We start from the raw sequence: 20,688 nt of genomic DNA, 5'->3' as shown, positions 1-20,688 counted from the left end.
TTTACTTATTTTTATTTTACTATTTATTTATCCAGTGAATGCTAGTAGAGATGTTACTGTGTGCTAGGAAATTCAAACTGCATAAGTCTGCACACTCGACTTTCCCTTTTGTGTGTCTCAAAGGCATTAATAATCAATATTTCCCCAAACTAAACTCATAATCCTGTCTTTCCAACCTGGTCTTCTCTCTGTGCCTCTTGTAGTAAAATGGCACTACTTCCAGTTATGCAAGTCCGAAACTTAGGGGTCATCTTTGGTATCTGTAATCCTTATCTCCCGTATCTAACCCATCACCAAAGCCTTTCTGTTGACCCTTATTATCTCTGGAGTCTATTACGTATGTTTCTCCACCAGCAACACTACCACCATCTTGGCCCAAGCTATTTCACTTAAGCTCCCCTGCAAGCTGTTGTCATCCTGCAGCCTGCCAGAGGAATCTTTTCAAAATTGAATTCTATCCCACAGGAGCAGGATTAAAAAAAATCAGCTCTAATTAATGCCATCCCCTACTTAAAAACCTTCTCATTGCTTTTCTTTGTTGTTGTTGTTATTATTTGTTTGTTTTCTTTTGGTATTGTTTTTTGACTTAAAACAAGAGAAATTTATTATCTCTCAATTCTAAAGGCCAGAAGTCTAAAATCAATGTGTTGGCAGGGACTATGGTTTGAATGATTGTCCTCTCCCAAACTCATGTTGAAATTTAATCCCCAATGTGGCAGTATTGAGAGGTGATTGGGTCATGAGGGCAGAGCCCTCATGAATGGATTAATAGGTTAATGGATTAATGGGTTATCATGGTAATGGAACTGGTCGGCTTTATAAGAAGAGGAAGAGACTGGAGCTAGCACGTTCAGCTCCCTTGCCATATGATGCCCTGTACTATCTTGGGATTCTGCAGAGTCCCCACCAGTAAGAAGGCCCTCACCAGATGTGGCCCCTCAACCTGGGACTTCTCAGCCTCTGTAACTCTAAGAAGTAATTACTGTTTCAGGTATCCTGCTATGAGCAATGAAAACTGGACTAAAACAGCAGGGCTGTGCTCCCTCTGAAGACTATTGGGGAGAATCTGTTTCTAGGCTCTTCAGCTTTTGGTGACTCTAGGCCTTTCTTGGCTTGTGACCGTAAGACTCCAATCCATGCTTCTTTGCTTCCAACTCTTGTTGTTTTTTTTTTAATTTTTAATTTTTGTGGGTGCATAGTAGTGTGGGGTACATGAGATATTTTGATACAGGTATGCAATGCTTATTAATCACATCTTGGTAAATTGGGTATCCATCCCCCTCATGCGTTTATCCTTTGTGTCACAGACAACTCAATTATATACTTTTAGTTATTTTTAAATGTATAATTAAATTATTATTGACTATAATAGTCACCTATTGTGCTATCACATATGAGGTCTTATTCATTTTTTCTAACTACTTTTGGTACCCATGAGCCATCCCCATTCCCCAATTATCCACTCCAGTCTCTAGTAATCATCCTTTTACTCTTTATGTCTGTAAATTCAATTATTTTAATTTTTGCTCCCACAAATAAGTGAGAACATGCAAAGTTTGTCTTTCTGTGCCTGGCTTATTTCACTTAACATAATGACCTCCAGTTCCATCGTTGTTGCAAATGACAGGATCTCATCCTTTTTTATGGCTGAATAGTACTCCATTGTATATATGTACCACAGTTTGTTTAATCATTCATCTGTTGGTGAATACTTAGGTTGCTTCCAAACCTTGGCTATTGTGAACACAGCTGCAACAAATATGAGAGTGCAGATATCCTTTTGATATACTGTCTTCCTTTCTTTTGGGTATGTACCCAGCAGTGGGATTACTAGATCACATGGTAGCTCTATTTTTAGTTTTTTGAGGAACCTCCAAACTGTTGTCCATAGTGGTTGTACTAATTTACATTCCCACCAACAATGGACAAGAGTTCCCTTTTCTCCACATCCTTGCCAGCATTTGTTATTGGTTGTCTTTTGGAAAAATGCCATTTTTACTGGGGTGAGATGATATCTGACTATAGTTTTGATTTGCATTTCTCTGATGAGCCATGATACTGAGGACATTTTCATATGCCTGTCTACCATTTGTATGTCTTCTTTTGAGAAATGTCTATTCAAATCTTTTGCCCATTTCAAAATCAGATTATTAAATTTTTTTCTTGTAGAGTTGTTTGAGCACGTTATAGATTCTGGTTCTTAATCCCTTGTCAGATGGGTAGTTTGCAAATGTTTTCTCCCATTTGTGAGTTCTCACAGCTTTTCAACATATAAAATTCCTCAACTGACTTATGGCCTCACATGAGCTTGTCACTTTTTACCAAGAATGTCTTCCTTTGTCATCTTCAGCCACAGTGGTTTTCTTTCTTGCTGTGTTCTCTCCTGCCTGTTCCGTGGTGAGCAGGTCTGTGCAAACCCACCCCCAAGGTGAGAGGCTGAAGAAAGAGGCTGACAAATTCAGTTTCTCAGAAAGAAATATTTAATAGGCTCTTACAAACAGAAGTGATATCTGGGATAACCATGCAATGGTGGGTCCCTGCATTCACTGTCCAGAAAGTATCCTTTGTATGGCAAGCTGATTACATCTCAGACTTTCTTGCTGAAACTCGTGACTACTGGGGAGGTTAGATAAGCATCTTTATGCAGGGCTATGTATGCTACAGGCATTGCTTAAAGACCTTGCTGCAGAACACCTTGGTATGCTGTGGTCAAACATCAGTTATCATGGCGAGTCTCCTTCCAGATGGAGTCACTCTTGCCATACAATGGCTGTTTTCCTACACAGACACAAGGCTTCATTTATCCTGTTTCTCCTGCCTGGAATACTCTTCCCTTCCCTTTTTACCTTTTAGCTGTTGTTTGCTTTCAGATCCTAGCTCAAGCAAAACTTTTTTCTGAAAAATCTTTCTCCGACTCTGACTAGGACAAATCCTTTATAATAAGCTTTCTACATACTATGTGCCTTTCCTTCTTAGCTCCTGTTGTGGTAGCAATTTTCTATTGATTTGTTGCTTACTTGATACATGTCTCCCTAACTAGATTATAAGCACAACTGAGGGCAGGAACCATGATTGCTTTTTTCATACTCTCAGAATCTAGCATGGTTCTTGGCCCATCATAAGTCCTGAATAAATTTTGTTGAATGCATGAGTGAATGAAGACTTAGGTCATCCCTCAAGAAAGTCCAGTCTAGAAGGCAGATAGGAATCACAACTCAAAATGAGAGGTGTGCTCTGTTAGAGATAGCAGTACATTTTTTTTTTTGTTTTCGGTTTTTTGAAGGGGGAGTTACTGAGCGATGAAATCCCAAAGCCTAGAAACCAGCACTTTAGGTCCTGAGGAATTTTAACAGAGAAAGTAATATAATCAAATACATACTTTGGACATTTTTATCTGGCACCAAGGTAGAAGATGGGTTGTACCAGACTAAGCCAAGGGGCAGGGGTACAAATAAGGGATTATTTCAATATCCTGCTGAGAGATGAAGACCTGAATTTAGTTGGAAGCCATATGGAGGAAAGAACAGATAAGAAATAAAAGATATAAAATGAGTTGAATCTTTTGGATTTAATGGTGTATTGATACGGGTGAAGGAGAAGGATTAGGTGACTGGGTGATGCCATTCATCAGGTTGGGACTGTAAGAAGTGGAATTAAATTTTGGGATAAAGGGATTGAGTTATATCTGAGGCATATGGTTCTATTGAATACCGTAGTATTGTAGCTTTGATTTTGTGTGTGTGTGTGTATGCCTAATGCTGTTAGGACTTCTTGAAACATTGTCTGCTCTTGACTCCTGAGTATATTTTCCTGGTTTTCCTCCTACCTCACTGGCTACTCTTCTGTGCACAAAGCTGGTGCCTTCATCTAACTTTTTTTTTTTTTTTTTTGAGACAGAGTCTCGCTCTGTCACCCAGGCTGGAGTGCAGTGGCACGATCTCGGCTCACTGCAACCTCCGCCTCACGGGTTCAAGTGATTCTCCTGCCTCAGCTTCCCGATTAGCTGGGATTACAGGCACGTGCCACCATGCCCGGGCTAATTTTTGTATAGCCTTCATCTAACTTCTAAGTGTTAGTGAATCCCAGGAAATAGGCCTAGGGTCTTTTGCGTCTCTACTCTACTTTTTCACCAGGTGATTTCATCCAGTCTCATTTCTTTAAATACCTTTTATACACTGGTGATTTTTCCCTAGCCTCTCTCTTGAACTCTCCAGACTAGAACACTCAAGTGCTTACTTGACATTCCTACTTAAATGTCTAAGAGGCATCTGAAATATAACAAGTCCAACTACAGAACTGTTGATTCTCTTTCCTCTCAAGACTGTTTCTCCCATAGTCTTCCTCATTATGGTATATGGTAATAAATCTACCCAGCTGTTCAAGTGAAAAGCCTGGGAATCAAAGCACCTATGTTTAAAGTATGGATGCATTTAACACCATTAACTACTATTAATCATCTCAAACCTTAAATGTCACCAGGAGTATGTGCCCAGGAAAGTCCTAGTTAGAAAACCCTCTTTACACCCAGATTAAAGAGGAATTCTCGCATCTTTTCTTCTAGTACCTGCATAGTTTAATATTTTAGAGTTAAATCTTTGATCCAATCAGAGTTGTAGTTTATCCATATGTATGATTTGGGAAATGAATCAAATTTTATTGCAGTATTATTTATAATTACAAAACATTAGGAATTATTTAAATGTCCAAATATAGGAGACTGATTGACAAAAGCATGGTGTGCACATGTGTACACACACTTCACATTCACATGCCCAGGAGTCAGCCTTGATTTCTTTCCTCCCCTTCCTCCCTCTTCCTCACATTTAGTCCATCATTAAATGCTGTTGGTTCTGCCTACAAACATATCTCATGATCCCCATTCTTGTATTTATGCCTGAGTCACCATCATTTCTTGCCTAGCCTCCAACTTCCTTTCTTGACTCCCTTTAATAGGTCTCTACAAAGCTGTTAATGTATATGGGTTTCTTTTTTCTTTTTTTCCTCCTCTCCTCTCCTCTCTTTTTTCTGAGACAGGGTCTCACTCTGTCACCCAGGCTGGAGTGCAGTGGCATGATCCTAGCTCACTGCAGCCTCGAACTCCTGGGCTTAAGCCATCCTCCCATCCCAGCCTCCTGAGTAGCTGAGATTATAGGAATGAGCCACCACACCCAGCTAATTAAAAAAAAATTTTTTTTTGTAGAGATTGCTGTGTTGCCCAGGCTGGTCTCAGTCTCCTGGCTTCAAGTGATCCTCCTGCCTCAGCCTCTCAAAGTGTTGGGATTACTGTTGCAAGCCACTGCACCCTTCTATTTTTTGTTTGTTTGTTTTAAAAGAATAACATAAGTCCGAGCATGTCACAGACCTATTAAAAAGTCTCCAGTGGTTTCCTATGAAACAAGATAAAAATCTTGGGCAGGCGTGGTGGCTCATGCCTGTAATCCCAGCACTTTGAGAGGCTGAGGCGGGAGGATCACGAGGTCAGGAGATTGAGACCATCCTGGCCAACAGGGTGAAACCCCGACTCTATTAAAAAAAAAAATTAGCTGGACCTGGTGGCGCGTGCCTGTAATCCTAGCTACTCAGGAGGCTGAGGCAGAAGAATCACTTGAACCAGGGAGTCAGAGGTTGCAGTGAGCCGAGATTGCGCCACTGCATTCCAGCCTGGCGACAGGGTAAGATTCTGTCTCAAAAAAAAAAATTATCTGGACCTGGTGGCACGTGCCTGTAATCCTAGCTACTCAGGAGGCTGAGGCAGGAGAATCACTTGAACCAGGGAGTCGGAGGTTGCAGTGAGCCGAGATCGCGCCACTGCATTCCAGCCTGGTGACGGTACGATTCTGCCTCAAACAACAACAACAACAACAACAACAACAACAACAAAAACTCAACCCTTGACCATGATCTACTGATCTAGCCAACTTTTTGGCTTCCTCTCCTGTCTCCCTTCCTTGCTCACAAACTTGTCACGAGGTTTCTTGCCTCAGAACCTTTGCATTTTCTTCACTGTTCTATCATTCAAATCTCAGTTGAAAGTCCTCTTTAAAGAGGCCTTCTCTGACTCTACAATTTAACGTTTTACCCCCCCATCTTTCTCCTAGTCACTACCACATTTTCGTTTTAATTTCTTCATAGTGTTTATCAGTATAAGAAAAATTTCCTTCCTTCTTTCCTCCTTCTGTTCCTCCTTTTATTCCTCTTTTTCTTCTTCCTTACCTTATTTATGTTTCTCACTCTTCAGATTGTAGGTTTTGTCAGAAAAGGAATTTTATCTTTTTTGTTTACATCTATACCCCCAGTGCCTGGAGCATTCCTATAGTCCTGGCACATAGAAAACATGTGAATATGAATATATCCATTCACTCTGCATGTGTATGTGTGTGTATGATATTGAATAAAGTGATTGGGTTACTTTTTATAATAAAACAATCATTAAATGCTGTATTCAGAGTGCTCAAATATAGAATATTTGAAAAGGTATGGACTTTATCCCCAAAGATTGGGGAAGGAAAAAATAACATATGGTTCATGTTGTTGCTTTGTTCAACTTTGTTTTCCTTTTTGGGCAGATTGGAGCAATAAGCAGATGGTGGGTGAGTAAAATCCTAGAAAGAAATGGTGGGGGGTGGGGTGAGAAGGAGGTGGGGCAATGAACTATATAAAGTGAAAATAATGGCGTGAGCATAGTGAAGTAAGAATTAGATCTCATCTTTATTCTGGAGAGGGGTCAGCACAAATTACATGTCAATACTCAACTCTTGATTTTCTAGATGAATGGAAGGGAAAATAATGAATGAATCCATGCTTGATTTTGGAATTCAGCCAGAGGCAGATGAACCATAGATTTCATCACCCATCCCAGGACCAAGTTCCTTTTCAGCAGCCCAAGTGGGACCATAAATGAAATGGGTAAAACAAGGCTACCCTGGTATTGCCCTATTAACTTTCCACAGTTAGCTTCATACATTCTGCTCGGTATTTTAAAATCAAAAGAGCTTCTGGTAGGAGTAAATTTATAGACAAAAACTTTTAAAATGGATGTCTCATTCAGTCTGAAACCACAGCTGTGTTCCCATAGTTTTGCCTTCCTGTTTCCCATCCTCTAACCCTAAAAATTCCTTATTCATCTCCTGGACTCTCATGTTCCACCCTCTGTGAAGATCTGCTCCACAGTTTTAGACCAAAGTGAATTCCGCTTAACGAAACTTCTTTGACACTCAAAGTTGATAGCTTAGTAATTATTCCATGAACATCTCTTACCTCCTTAATTGGTCTGGAAGCTCCCTGAGGTTATGGATATCCTATATTCATGTTATTTATTTTGTGGAGGCTAAAGCATTCCCAGCCCAGTTCTGGGCTAATGGTAGGTGTTAAAGGCAGATGGAACAGGTTATTTGAGTCCAATTCACATATCTTTGTTCAAAATGGACAACCTACCTAAGTCTTCTAGGATGAATCTTTCTCCATATAAATCATTAATGACATTTTATTTTGTATTTCTCCAGATTAATTAAAAGAGCACTGGGAAAATCATTTTTTATTTGCACATGAAATAATGTACTGCTTTTCAGAATGAAAACACTTACAAATCATTTTTATTATGAATAATTTAGGATATTTGGGACATTCATTTCTGAGTAAAATAGTTCAAAATAGGATTTTGTTGATACCTGTTGATACATATTTAGAAACAAAAATGAGATATCCTTTTGAAAGTTTGCCTTTGTAGTAAATTCAGTCATTCAAATTGTTTTCTCTCAAGACCCAAAAATGCCAGGGCATTGCCGGCTTTGAGTTTATTCTGAAAAGAAAAGAAAATATTTTAAAGCATTATTGGTTGTTTTTTAAGTACTTTTAAGTACTACATTGATCAGGTTTAAAAAAATCAGCTCCCCAATATGAGAGAAAAATACTAGCAGGTTATACAGTGAATCTCTTACCAAAATCCTCTTGACCTATGTTTTGCCCCGCTGTTTGAAATCTAAATCTGAAACTTGATTGTAGGGGGAGAGAAGAGACTTATAAAGGGGAGAGCCCTCCTTAGGAGGTGCCCTTGTTTGGAAACTGGACCCTCTAACAGCTTGGATCTTAAGGACCATTTGGGGGCAAATACAGAGAAAAGGTACAGTTAGGTCTGTGGGACAAGAGGGCTGCAAAAGGTGCTCAAAAGTCATCTAGCCATCCCCCAGCTGCTAGACATATGTGTTGTTGTTTTCACATGGCCCTAAATAAAAGTTAAGCTTTTTCAGAGCAAGAGAAGTGATATAAATGAAGGGTCTCAGATGAGGGTACAAATCCGTACATCTTAAAATTTTCACATAAGAAATGGACTCCCCAGCTATAAACTATATCAACTCTGCTGAAAGAAGAGATTTAAGAAGTAACTTTGTGATACCCTAACTGATTTGTTTATCCAGCTTGCAAAGGACAGGTATGTAGCTGAGGATGGAAGAAATATATGGGGTTGTGTGACATCCATACCATTAATGTGTCCTTCTATATTATGACCACTTCAGGGTTCTTACACAGCCTTGAAAAGTGGGTGATTTGAGGCAGGACCTCTTACTCAGGGTTCTTCCCCAATACATACTTAGGCCATCCTCCTCTAGAGGAAGATTTCAGAAGTGACTATTGCTGCTAGGAGGAACCATGTACTTTACCTTTTAAGATAGCTTAGTACCATGTATCCTTTGAGGGAGGTACCCTTCAGAGTGTTGGATGGAGATCTGATCCTGGAGTCAAGGGATTTGGGATCGCATCCATACACTATAACCCACCAGTTATATTGCCTTTGGCAAGTCACTCAACTCCCAAGTCTTGTTTTCTTTCTCCACATCTTCATGGTAGAATGCATCTGCCTATATACAGCAGTCCCCCCTTATCTATGAAGGATACATTCCAAGACCCTCTGTGGATGCTATATAGAATCCTATATATACTGTGCACAAATTACTTTTCCTTTCTTCACAGTTACACAGATAGAAGATGCATTCTTACAAAGTAAGATCTTAGCAACCTCAACATATAATTTTTCTTTCTTTCCTTATTAAGTTGAGAACTTTCACCTTTTCACTTAAAGGAAGCACTTTACAGCTTCTCTTGGGCATATCTGAATTGCCAGCATTACTACTCTTGTGCTTTGGGGCCATTATTAAGTAAAATAAGGTGAGTTGAGCACAAGCATGGCAATATGGCGACAGTCCATCTGATCACCAAGATGATACTAAGTGACTAATGGGGAGGGAGTGGATACAGCATGGAGACCCTGGGCAAAGGGATGATTCACATCTTGGGCTGGAGAGAGCAGGACAGTGTAAGCTTACACCATGCTACTCAGAATGGCATGTAATTTAAAACTTATGAATTATTTCTGGAATTTTCCATTTAATATTTTTGGACTGTGGTTGACTGGGGTAAGAGAAACTGTAGAAGGCAAAACTGAGGATAAGGGGGGACTGCTATACCTTCCAATGTACTTATCAAATGGATTTATTTATTTTATTTTAAATTTCTTTAGTGGTATTTACCTTCGCATGGTTCAAAATTCAAAATGTCTAAAATAGATACTTCATTCCTAGTGCCTTTTTCTTCCCAGAGTTTGATCAGTTTCTTGTTTATGTTCCAGAGATATTTTATGTTTATACTCCATAAGCAAATACTTATATTCAGGCATATAAAGATTCTTTTTCACAAAAGAGGTATTGGATCTACAAATGGAAGTATACTATACAAATTGTTTTATACCTTGCTTTTTAAAATTTAATGTATCTTGGAAATTGATTTCTAATTTATTTATGGTGGCATAATTTCCATTGTGTGGATATATTATGATTTATTTAACTATTCCCCTAAAGATTGTTTTCAGTATTACAGCGTTACAATGAGTACCCTTGTACAGAATATCATTGTGAATTTGTGTTAGTATAAAGCCTTTATGCAAGATTACAGAAAAAACTTGAAAGTGATAAGCACATAAGAATAAACAATAAAAGGCATGTAATAATAATTACTATTATTCCATTAAGTTTTTAATCAGGATATGTGGGTCATCTGGTTTCTGTTTAATTTTGGTTAATAGAAAGTTTTTCATTTTCAACCTTTGTTGTTTAAAAAAAAAGATAAAAAATGCCTTTATGACAGCTTCCTACTTTAGGAAGGAAGTGGGTAAATATTTAACAATATTTAGTAGGTAATATTTAACAGTTCAAGACTTTTAGTGCCAAAAGGGACACTTTGTGTATAAAATAGTCTAAGGTTTCCCAGTTAATAACTTGTAACTAGTATACTGAAGAATGAATTTTTCTTGGCATCTGTTAATGTACTTTAAGCCTATTGAGAAGATTTGATGAACAATATCTTTAATAGTTAAGGCAGGGAGAGTTCAAGGTAACTTTTGGATTCTAGTTTAGAAGAAAGCCAAGAATTATGCAAAAGGATTACAACTAAAAGTTTTGTAAGATTTATTAAGAGTTTATATATTCTCATATTGTTATTTTTGGCCATCCCTGACTCCTGGGAGTGATGGGCAGTGAAGGTCTTAGGAAGAACTTATTTTTTTGGAGGATGGGGGTGTGGAAGGAGTGGCAAAGGAGAGGGAAACTGAAGACACTGCATCTCATTTTAAACTCATCTTGGTTTAGGAGTCTAAGGGGTAGACTAGGTAATGGTAGCATTATAGCACATATTAGTATCATTTACCTGCCTTAAAAGTCAAACGCCGGGAAAAAAAATAAAGTCTAGTTACTTAAAGGATCTGATTCCTTGGATCCTTTTAATCAAGACTTTAGTTTCATCATCTAAATAACTAGAGTTATTACAACTTTTGAGATTGGTAGATTTGTAACAGAAGTAATATAGAAAAAATTTAGACATTTTTCCTATGATCTATCTAACATGCAGGCATATTTTATTGTCATATCCTTCTATACAACTTTCTTTCTTGGGTTTATGAATTTAGTTGTACTAGGCTGACTTTCAGCTTTGTCATTTTTTTTGTCCTTTAATAGTTTAGCTATTTATGGAGATAGAGTAATAGTTTTAGGGAATTCAGTGTAATGGTTCCTCTGTTCTTTGTTTTTATATATCAAAGTGCTCTGAAACCAAACCCAATTAGAGCAGGAAAAGTCAGTAAGAAAGCCGTGAAGTAAAAGACATTATACCTTTGTTTCTTCATCAAATTCTTCCATGGACTCTATTAGTTTCCCAGGTTCCAGCTCACCTAGTGGAAAGGGGTAATCGGTTCCCAAAATGACTTTATCCTAAAAAACAAAATATATATTTCTCTGTTGTTTTGTAAAACATGAAAGAGCCTCCTGTAAACAATTGTTTACTTATTACAAACATTCCTGTCATAAAAATAACACATTTTTTCCTGATTAATAGAAACATAAAACTTGTCTAAAATTTTAAAAAGATTTAATGGTTCAAATTTTATTCTGACTTTTTTTTTCCAGCAGGTGTCACTATTAGGTCTCTTTGTTGCAAATCAACCCCATTCTCTCTCTTTTTAAATAACTGAAATATAGAATACTGAAATATAAGAAATTGATATTTATTTACTAAAATATATATATTCAGATGAAATTAAGGGATTCTGTCTTTCTTAGAATGATACATTGCAATTGATTCCACAGTTTTTCAAAACATACTATTAACAGAGTAGGAAAGGAAACATAAAAAACAAATAACTCGATAAAAAGTAAAAAAAAAAAAACAAAAACAAAAACAAAAAATAGAAAAAGAAAATCCCCTATCTCTGGATCAGTTCCTATAAACAATTCCTATAAACTGGATCATAAGTTTTTGAACAGTATAGCTTTGAATTTCCATTTGACACTTTATACAATAAAATACGTAGGCTTGTCAATCTACAAATATATTAAGCACTGTGTCAGACAATGTGCTAGAATTTAGATGTACCCTTGTCAACAAAACAGACATGGTTCCTTTTCTGAAGGAACTCATAATCAAGTGAGAAAGATATTATGTCAATAATGGCAATTTATCAAAGTAAAATAAAATAAAAATTCAAACCAGAAATTTTACTTCTCAAAATGTATTCCACTCATACACTTGTGCTGGAAAGATATACAAAGAAATAAATTGCAACATTATTTGGAACAGCAAAAGACTGGCCAATTAAATTACAGAATATCTCCAAATAGAAAAGAATAAAGAATACTTACATATGCTGAAATGGAATAATCTCCAAGTTACAGTGTAAAGAAGAATGATCTTGAAGTTATAAAGAGAAATAAAGAGTCTAGAACAATGTGTCTGCTATGCTTTGATTTCTGTTTTCAATAAGGTACCTATAGACCCACAAATATATGTTTGTATATATACAGTCTATTTCAGGAATGGTATCTAAGAAACAAATAACATTAATTTCCTCCATGGAGTAGGACTAGGGCTTGGGGGTCAGAATATCCCCTTTTCTTTTTTTTTTGAGATATAATTCACATACCATAAAATTCACCCCCTTTAAAGTGTATAATTCAATGGGTTTTAGTATATTCATAAGTTTGTGTAATCATTTCCACTAATTATAGAATGTTTAAAAAAATTTTTTTCATCTTATATAACCACAGATTTTTGTCACCTCCAAAATAAACCCTGTACCCATTAGCAGTGACTCCCCATTCTTTTCTCCCTCCAGCCCTTGGAAAACACTAGTTTACCCTCTGTGTCTCCAGAATTGCCTGGTTGGTACATTTCACATAAATGGAATCACATAATATGTAGCCTTCTTTCATTTAGTTTAATGTTTTCAAGGTTCACCCATGTTATTGCTTGAATCAATACGTACCTAAGAGTGGAAGTGCTGGCGCATATGGTGAGTCCATGTTTAACATTTTGAGAAACTATTTTCTACCATGGCTGCAGCTTTCTACATTCCCACCAGCATGTATGAGGGTTCCAGTTTCTCCAGATCCTCGCCAACATTGGTTATTCATCTTTTTGATTATGGCCATCTCAGTAGGTATGAGGTGGTATCTCACTGTAGTTTTTATTTGTATTTCTCTAATAAGTAATTATGTTGAACATCTTTTCATGTGCTTATTGGCTATTTGTATCTCTTCCTTGGAGAAATGTCTACTAAGATCCCTTGTGTACATTCATGTCCATTTTGTTATCTTTTTATCATTGAGCTATAAGAGATCTTTGTGTGTTCTGAATACTAGAGCCTTATAGATACATGATTTGCAAATATTTTCTCCATTCGGTGAGTTGTCTTTTTTACTTCCTTGGTATTGTCTTTTGAAGCACAAAAGTTTTAAATTTTGATGAAGTCTTCTTCATCTATTATTTTCTTTGGATGCTTGTACTTTTGGTGCCATAGCAAAGAAACTATTGCCTAACCCAAAGTCACAAAGATTTACACCTATGGTTTCTTCTAAGAGTTTGTGGTTTTAGTTCTTCAATTTAAGTCTTTGATCCATTTTGAGTTAATTTGCATGGTGTAAAGAAGGAGTCCAACTTTATTTATTTTTTTTACATGTGGATATCTACTCTTATCTCACTATCATATGTTGAAAAGACTATTCTTTATCACACTGAATTGTATTGGCACCCTTGTTGAAAGTCAGTTGATCTTTATGTCTGTCTTTAGGCTAGTCCCATAGAGTCTTGATTACTGTAGTTGTGTAGAAAGTTTTGAAGTTGGGAATGTGACTGTGCCAATTTTGTTTTTTCTAGATTGTTTGGCTATTCTGGATCCCTTGCATTTTCTTTTTTGAGACGGAGTTTCACTCTTGTCACCCAGGCTGAAGTGTAATGGTGCGATCCTGGCTAACTGCAACCTCTGCCTCCCGGATTCAGGCAATTCTCCTGCCTCAGCCTCCCAAGTAGCTGAAATTACAGGCACACGCCATCACACCCAGCTAATTTTTGTATTTTTAGTAGAGACAGGGTTTTGCCATGTTGGCCAGGCTGGTCTCAAACTCCTGATCTCAGGTGATCCACCCACCTTGGCCTCCCAAAGTGCTGGGATTACAGGTGTGAGCCACTGCACCTGGCCCCCTTGCGTTTTCATATGAATTTTTGGATCAGCTTATCAATTTTTGCCAAAAAAAAAAGACATCTGGAATTTTGATAGCAATTGCATTGGATCTGTAGATCAATTTGGGGGGTATTGCCAGTTAGCAACATTAAGTTTTTGAATCAATGAACATGGAATGTCTTTTCATTTAGGTCTTCTTTAATTTTCTTCAACAATGTTTTGTAACATATATATATATTATATATGTTATATATATATTATATATATAACATATATATATTTTTTTTCTTTTTTGAGATGCAGTCTCACTCTGTTGCCCAGGCTGGAGTGCAGTGGCACAGTCTCAGCTCACTGCAACCTCCACCTCCTGGTAAGCTATTCTCCTACCTTAGCCTCCCTAGTAGCTGGGATTACAGGTGCATGCCACCACACTCGGCTAATTTTTTTGTATTTTTAGTAGGGATGTGGTTTCACTGTGTTAGCCAGGATGGTCTTGATCTCCTGACCTTATGATCCACCCGCCTTGGCCTGCCAAAGTGCTTGGATTACAGCAGGGTATATATTTTGTGCCTTTTTTGGCTATATTTTTCACAAATGTTTTTCTTGCTGATGCTATTATAAATGGAATTGTGTCCTCAATTTCATTTATGGATTATTCATTGCTAACAAATAGAAATACAATTAATTTTTTATTTATCTTGTACTCTCTAAGCTTGCTGAATCTATTAGCCCTAATAGTTTCTTTGTGGATTCTTTAGGATTTTCTAGATACAAAGCCGTCTCAATTGCAAGTAGAGAAAATTTTTTTCCTTCTCTTCCAATCTAGATGCTTTTTCTTTGTTTTTCTTGCCTAATTGCCTTGACTAGAGCCTCCAGTACAATGTTGAATAGAAGTGATGAGAATAGAGCCTTTCAGTCTTTCACTATTAAGTGTGATGTTAGTTGTGGGTTTTTCATGATGCTTTTTATTAGGTTGAGGATGTTCCCTTCCACTCCTTGTTTATTGAGCTCTTTTATATTTTTTGAAGCATTGGTGAAGAATTTGTTTTAATTCTTTTTTACATTTTTCATAGAATTCACCAGCGAAGACATCTGGTCATCAGCTTTTCTTTGTGGGAAGATTGAAAATTATTAATTCAGTATCTTAATATAGACCTGTTTGAACTTTCTATTTCTTCTTCAGCCAGTTTTGTTAGTCTTTCTAGGAATTTCATAAATCATTTAGGTTATTTCATTTGTTGTCATATAGTTGCTCAAATTTTTACTTATAATTCTTTTTATTTCTGTAAGTTCTGTAGTACTGCCGTCCTATTTCATTTGTGATTTTAGTATTAGTAATTTGAATCTTTTTTCTTTATTTTTGTTGGTCAGTCTAGCTAAAGGTTTGCCGATTTTGTTGATTTTTTCAAAGAACCAAATTTTGGTTTCACTGATTTTCCCTATTGTTTTTCTATAATCTATTTCTTTTATATCTGCTCTAATATTTATATATATTTTTCTGCTTGCTTGGGATTTAGTTTACTCTGCATTTTCTAGCTCTCAAGGCCAAGTCCTAGGCCACCGAATTAAGGTCTTTCTTCTTTTTTAATATAGGCATTTACAGCTATAAATTTTTCACTAAGTACTACTTCTAGCTGCATCCATAAGTTTTAGAATGTTGTGTTTTTGTATTCTATTCATGTCTAATGTTTTCTAATTTTCCTTGTGACTTCTTCTGTCTAGTGTCCTTCCATTTTAGCCTAAAGAACTCCCTTTGGCATTTCTTGTATGGCAGGTCTACTAATGATGAATTAGCTCAGTTTGTTTCATCTAGAAATGTCTTAATTTCTCCTTCATTCTTAAAGGATAGTTTTGCTTGAAATAGAGTTCTCACATTACAGGGTTACAGTATTTTTTCTTCTTTCTTTTAGTACTTTAAATTTGTCTTCCACTGCCTTCTGGCCTCCGTGGTTTATGAGGAGGGCTAAGGATAGAATCATAGGAATCATCAACATGGTGGGTGGAGTGATTGCAGAAATGGAGGACAGGGGGAAAATGCCTACAAAAGAGGCAGAGAGAGACAGGGAGGTGGAAAGAGAACTAGAAAGAAGTACTATCTAAAAAAATATGTAGCCAGCACAGTGGTTCAAACCTGTAATCTCAGCACTTTAGGAGGGCGAGGCAGGAGGATCACTTGAGCTCAGGAGTTCAAGACCAGCCTTGGCAACATAGTGAGACCTTAATAAAACAAATTAGCTTGGTGTGGTGGCACACACCTGTAGTCCTAGCTACTTGGGAGGCTGAGGTGGAAGGATTGCATGAGCCTGGGAGATGGAGGCTGCAGTGAGCTATGATTATCCAGCCTGAGTGAAAGAGCGAGGCCCTGTCTCAAAAAAAAAAAAAAAAAATGCAGTGTGATATATTGGAAGAAAAGGTATTTAATAAGTAATGATTCACAAGAGACAAGAGGAAGACAAAGATAAGGACTGGATAGTGTCTGTTGGATTTGGCAGCTTTATTAAATGCAGTTTCAGTGAGTGATAAAGAAAAAATCAAATGCATTCAATCAAAAGTAAATGGGTGGTGAAAAATGCAAATCTAAGTGTTAACTACTTACTTCTTCTCTGTCATTGTCACTCTATTTGTGCTGCTTGGGCAGTCAGTCTCATCCTAAGCTTCAAGCTCTGGTATGTGACTGCCTGCTGGACAGCCACACTTGGCTGCTTCACAGGCAATTAAAACTCAGCATGTTATGCTAATATTGAAGTTGTCATCTAAGTATTTACTCAACATCATGTTCATTTCTATTCTGTCACTCTCATTCTTGCTTTTGCTCTCTTGGCCTCTCCCCCACCTTGATCCACCTTCATTCTGGATATCTGCTGCTTGCTCTTCCAGATCAACTTTCCATCCTTCTTCACTCCTACTTGTCCCCTGGAGACTGACTTGTATGAAGTATACAATGGACTCCCTTGACCCTAGGCTTCCAGATGGATTTAGTTAATGAGCAACACAGGCAGGAGATTGTAGAATGAAAGGAAAGTACTTAATTACCTAGCGCCTTCCATGGAGTCATCTAGCCTCCAACTAGAAGTCTCAGCTCCTGTCCACAGGGATTTATTTATTTATTTATTTATTTATTTATTTATTTATTTTTTCCACAGCAATAGAAACCTAAGACTTCAGCACAGGCCCTTTTTACAGAGCCTCTCTAGCTTCAAGTTTTGGCCTGGAATAGTAATGGAGCTTTTCACAACTTTGTCAATAATCCCTTTATTAATTTCCCTTTACTAGTTTAGTTTTCCCAATTCATGTATGTCATCTTATTTTCTGCTGGAGCCCTAAATGAGTTACACTGTTTTCCAGTTATACCCGATTTTTTAAAAAAAAAATACATGTAAGGGGTACAAGTGCAGTTTTGTTATATGGAGATATTGCATAATGGTGAAGTCTGGGCTTTTAGTGTAACCATCACCTGAATGATGTACATAGCACTCAGTAAGTAATTTCTCATCCTCACCTCCATCCACCCTCCCACCCTTCCAAGTCCCCAGTATCTATTTTTCCATACTTCATGTCTGTGTGTACACATTATTTAGCTCCCACTTGTAAGTAAGAACATGTGGTATTTGACTTTCTGTTTCTGAGTTATTTCACTTAAGATAATAGCCTCCAGTTCCATCCATGTTGCTACAAAAGACATGATTTCATACTTTTTATGGCTGAATATTATTCCATTGTGCATATATATGACAGTTTCTTTATCCAGTCATTTACTGATGGACACTTAGATTAATTCCATTTCTTTGCTATTGTGATAGTGCTGTTATAAACATACAAGTGTAGGTATCTTTTTGCTATTATGATTTCTTTTCCTTTGGGTAGATGCCCAGTAGTGGGATTCTGAATTGAATTGTAGTTCTATTTTTAGTTCTTTGTGAAATTTCAATACTGTTTTCCATAAAGGTTGTACTAATTTACATTCCCACCAACAGTGTATAAGCATTTTCTTTGCATTTCCTCACCAATATGTTATTTTTGACTTTTTAATAATAGCCATTCAGATTGGCATGTGATGATATCTCATTGTAGTTTTAATTTGCATTTCTCAGATGATCAGTGATATTAAACATTTTTTCACATATTTGTTGGCCATTTGTATGTCTTCTTTTGAAGTGTGTCTATTCATGAGCTTTGACAAAGTTGACAAAAACATACACTGGGGAAAGGACACCTTTTTCAATAAATGAGAAAATTGGATTGCCACATACAAAAGAATGAACTCGGACCCCTATCTCTTACCATATATAAAAATCAACTGAAGATGGGTTAAAAATTTAAATGCAACACCTGAAAATATAAAAATACTAGGAGAAAACTTAGGGAAAACTCTCCTGGGCGTTGGTCTAGGCAAATAATTCATGACTAAGACCTCAAAAGCACAAGCAACAAAAACAAAAATAGACAAATGGAACTTAATTCACTAAATAGCTTCTGCACAGCAAAAGAAATAATTACCAGAGTGAAAAGACAACCTGCAGTATGGGAGAAAATATTTGAAAACCGTATACCTGACACAGGGTATTAATATCTATAATTTATAAGGAGCTCAAAGAACTCAGCAAAAAACACCACACAAATAACCCCATTAAAAATTGAGCAAAGAACATGAATAGTTATACAGATATGTTATGGTTTCCTGACTAGTCTGAACTCCTATTTTTTATTCACTAACTGATTAATGAATGTGGTGGAATTTTTTTTTATTTTGGCAGAATTTCAAACTGACAGAAATGTTGCAAGAAAATTCAGGAACCTTCCATGTAATCTTCACCCAGATTTAACAATTGTTTATACTTTGCCATCTTTGCTTTATCATTTTCTCATAGATATTTATGTATATATACACACTTCTTTGAGCTATATGTCAGTTGGAGATGTCATGGCTCCTTACTCCTAAATAAATTAGTGTTTATTTCCTAAAAAAAGGGATACTTTTTATATGACCACAGTATACTTCTCAAAATCAGGAAATTTAACATTGATAACAGTGTTATTTCGTTATCCATAGTTCATATTCAAATTTTGTCAATTGCCCCCATAATGTGATTTATAGCTAATTATTTTTCTTAGTCGAAGATCTAATTGATGATCACATATTAAATTTAGTTGTTATGTCTCTGAAGTTTCCCTTAATTTGGATCAGTTGGCCTTTTTTGTCACTCTTCATCTGGGATATTTTTGAAGATTGTAGATTAGTTATTTTATAGAATGTCCTCAGTTTGTGTTTGTCTGATGTTTCCTCGTGATTGTGTACAAATTACGCATTTGGGATAGGAATACTACCGAAGTGATATTGAGTCTTATTCAGTGCATTATATCAGGGCATATCATGTCGGTTTGTCTTAGTATTGGTAATTTTGATTATTTAGTTAAGTTGGTGTTTGCTGGGTTTCTCTAATGTGAAATCACCATTTTTTTCTCTTCATGATTAATAAGCAATTTGTGGGGAGCCACTTTGAGATCATTTAAATATCTTGTCCTTTTCCAACTTTCATCCACTGGTATTATCATTCAGTAATAATTTTCTAACTATTGTTATTTCTATATTCATTATAAAGAAGAGATTTCTTCATATATACAAACACATTAACTTATGTAAATTAAATATATATGTTCACCTATTTATTAATATATTCATTCTTTTTATTTATATCATTTTGGACTCATGGACTTAATTTTATCCAATTGGTTATAATTCATTATTATCACTGTTTATTTTGATAGCCAGATCATCTCAGGTTTGCTCAATGTGAATCACCTCTTCAGGTTGACTCCTGTATCCTTATGCTATTTCCCCACCATTCTTTGAGTACAGTTACCCTCAAGACCAAAGTCTTCAGATGCTCAAATCCTATATATAAAATGATGTAGTATTTGCATATAACCTATGCACATCTTCCTGCATACTTTAAATCATCCTTTACTTATATTACCTAATACAATGTTGCTATGTAAACAATTGTTATACTGTATTATTCTTTATATTTGTATTTGTTATTCTGTTATTTTATTTTATCTTTAAAACTATTTTTGACCTGTTGGACAATTCAGTTGGTTGAATCTGTGGATGTGGAACCTGTGAATACAGAGGGCTGACCGTACTTCCTTACTTTCAGGTACAAAATGTTCTAGCTCACTTTATACTTTCTCTGTCTTGGAAACAGCCTTTTCTCCAAGCAGACTAGCTTCCTTTGATGGAAAATGGTAACTAGAAACCAAGATCTGGGCGCTGTAAGTGATAACTGCTACTGATGTGGAAATACCTGCCTCACACACACATATCTATATTTCCATATCTTTCTATATTAAAAACCATGTATTATACCAATATATCCATTTCCAATCCAAACACTGCAGGGTACCTTCTCATCTTCTTCCTACTCTTCAGATTTCTAATTACCTTATCCAACAGTGAGACACCTGCCATTTTACTCATGTTGTTTCTTCATTTGCATGAGCCTAGAATGCACATGAAGTATTTTCAGAATTGTTAACCCACACCACTGCAAAAAGCAAATCTACTAGCTAGCATTCAATGTCTTTTTTAAAAGTAATAGTTACATAGAGTAAAACACAAATTCTTGAGTGATGAATTTGCTGATTTTTGACAAAGAATACACTGGCATTGCCCACATCCCTATCAAAAT

General features: G+C 36.4%; 1 protein-coding gene and 1 long non-coding RNA gene across 10 annotated transcripts in view; one reads left to right on the top strand and one right to left on the bottom strand.

Moving 5' to 3' along the window:
- The window catches only part of CCNT2-AS1 (CCNT2 antisense RNA 1), a 51,974-nt gene that overhangs the window by 9,011 nt on the left and 22,275 nt on the right, over nucleotides 1–20,688 (top strand). The gene's annotated exons all lie outside the window — the stretch shown is intronic.
- Nucleotides 7,562–20,688, bottom strand: part of ACMSD (aminocarboxymuconate semialdehyde decarboxylase) — a 63,419-nt gene continuing 50,292 nt past the window's right edge. For all 9 annotated transcript variants that reach the window (XM_011510592.3, XM_047443333.1, XM_017003325.2 and 6 more), the window contains 2 exons: nucleotides 11,157–11,255; nucleotides 7,562–7,798 (listed from right to left, as the gene is read on the bottom strand). In XM_011510592.3, coding sequence (XP_011508894.1) covers nucleotides 7,736–7,798; nucleotides 11,157–11,255 — 162 coding nt within the window. In that variant the 3' untranslated portion in view covers nucleotides 7,562–7,735. The remainder of the gene's footprint in view (nucleotides 7,799–11,156; nucleotides 11,256–20,688) is intronic.

Source organism: Homo sapiens, chromosome 2, assembly GCF_000001405.40.
Source record: "Homo sapiens chromosome 2, GRCh38.p14 Primary Assembly".
NCBI classification, from domain to species: Eukaryota; Metazoa; Chordata; class Mammalia; order Primates; family Hominidae; genus Homo; species Homo sapiens.
Note: the sequence above shows the minus strand (reverse complement) of the source record. Positions and strands in the feature narration are given on the sequence as shown.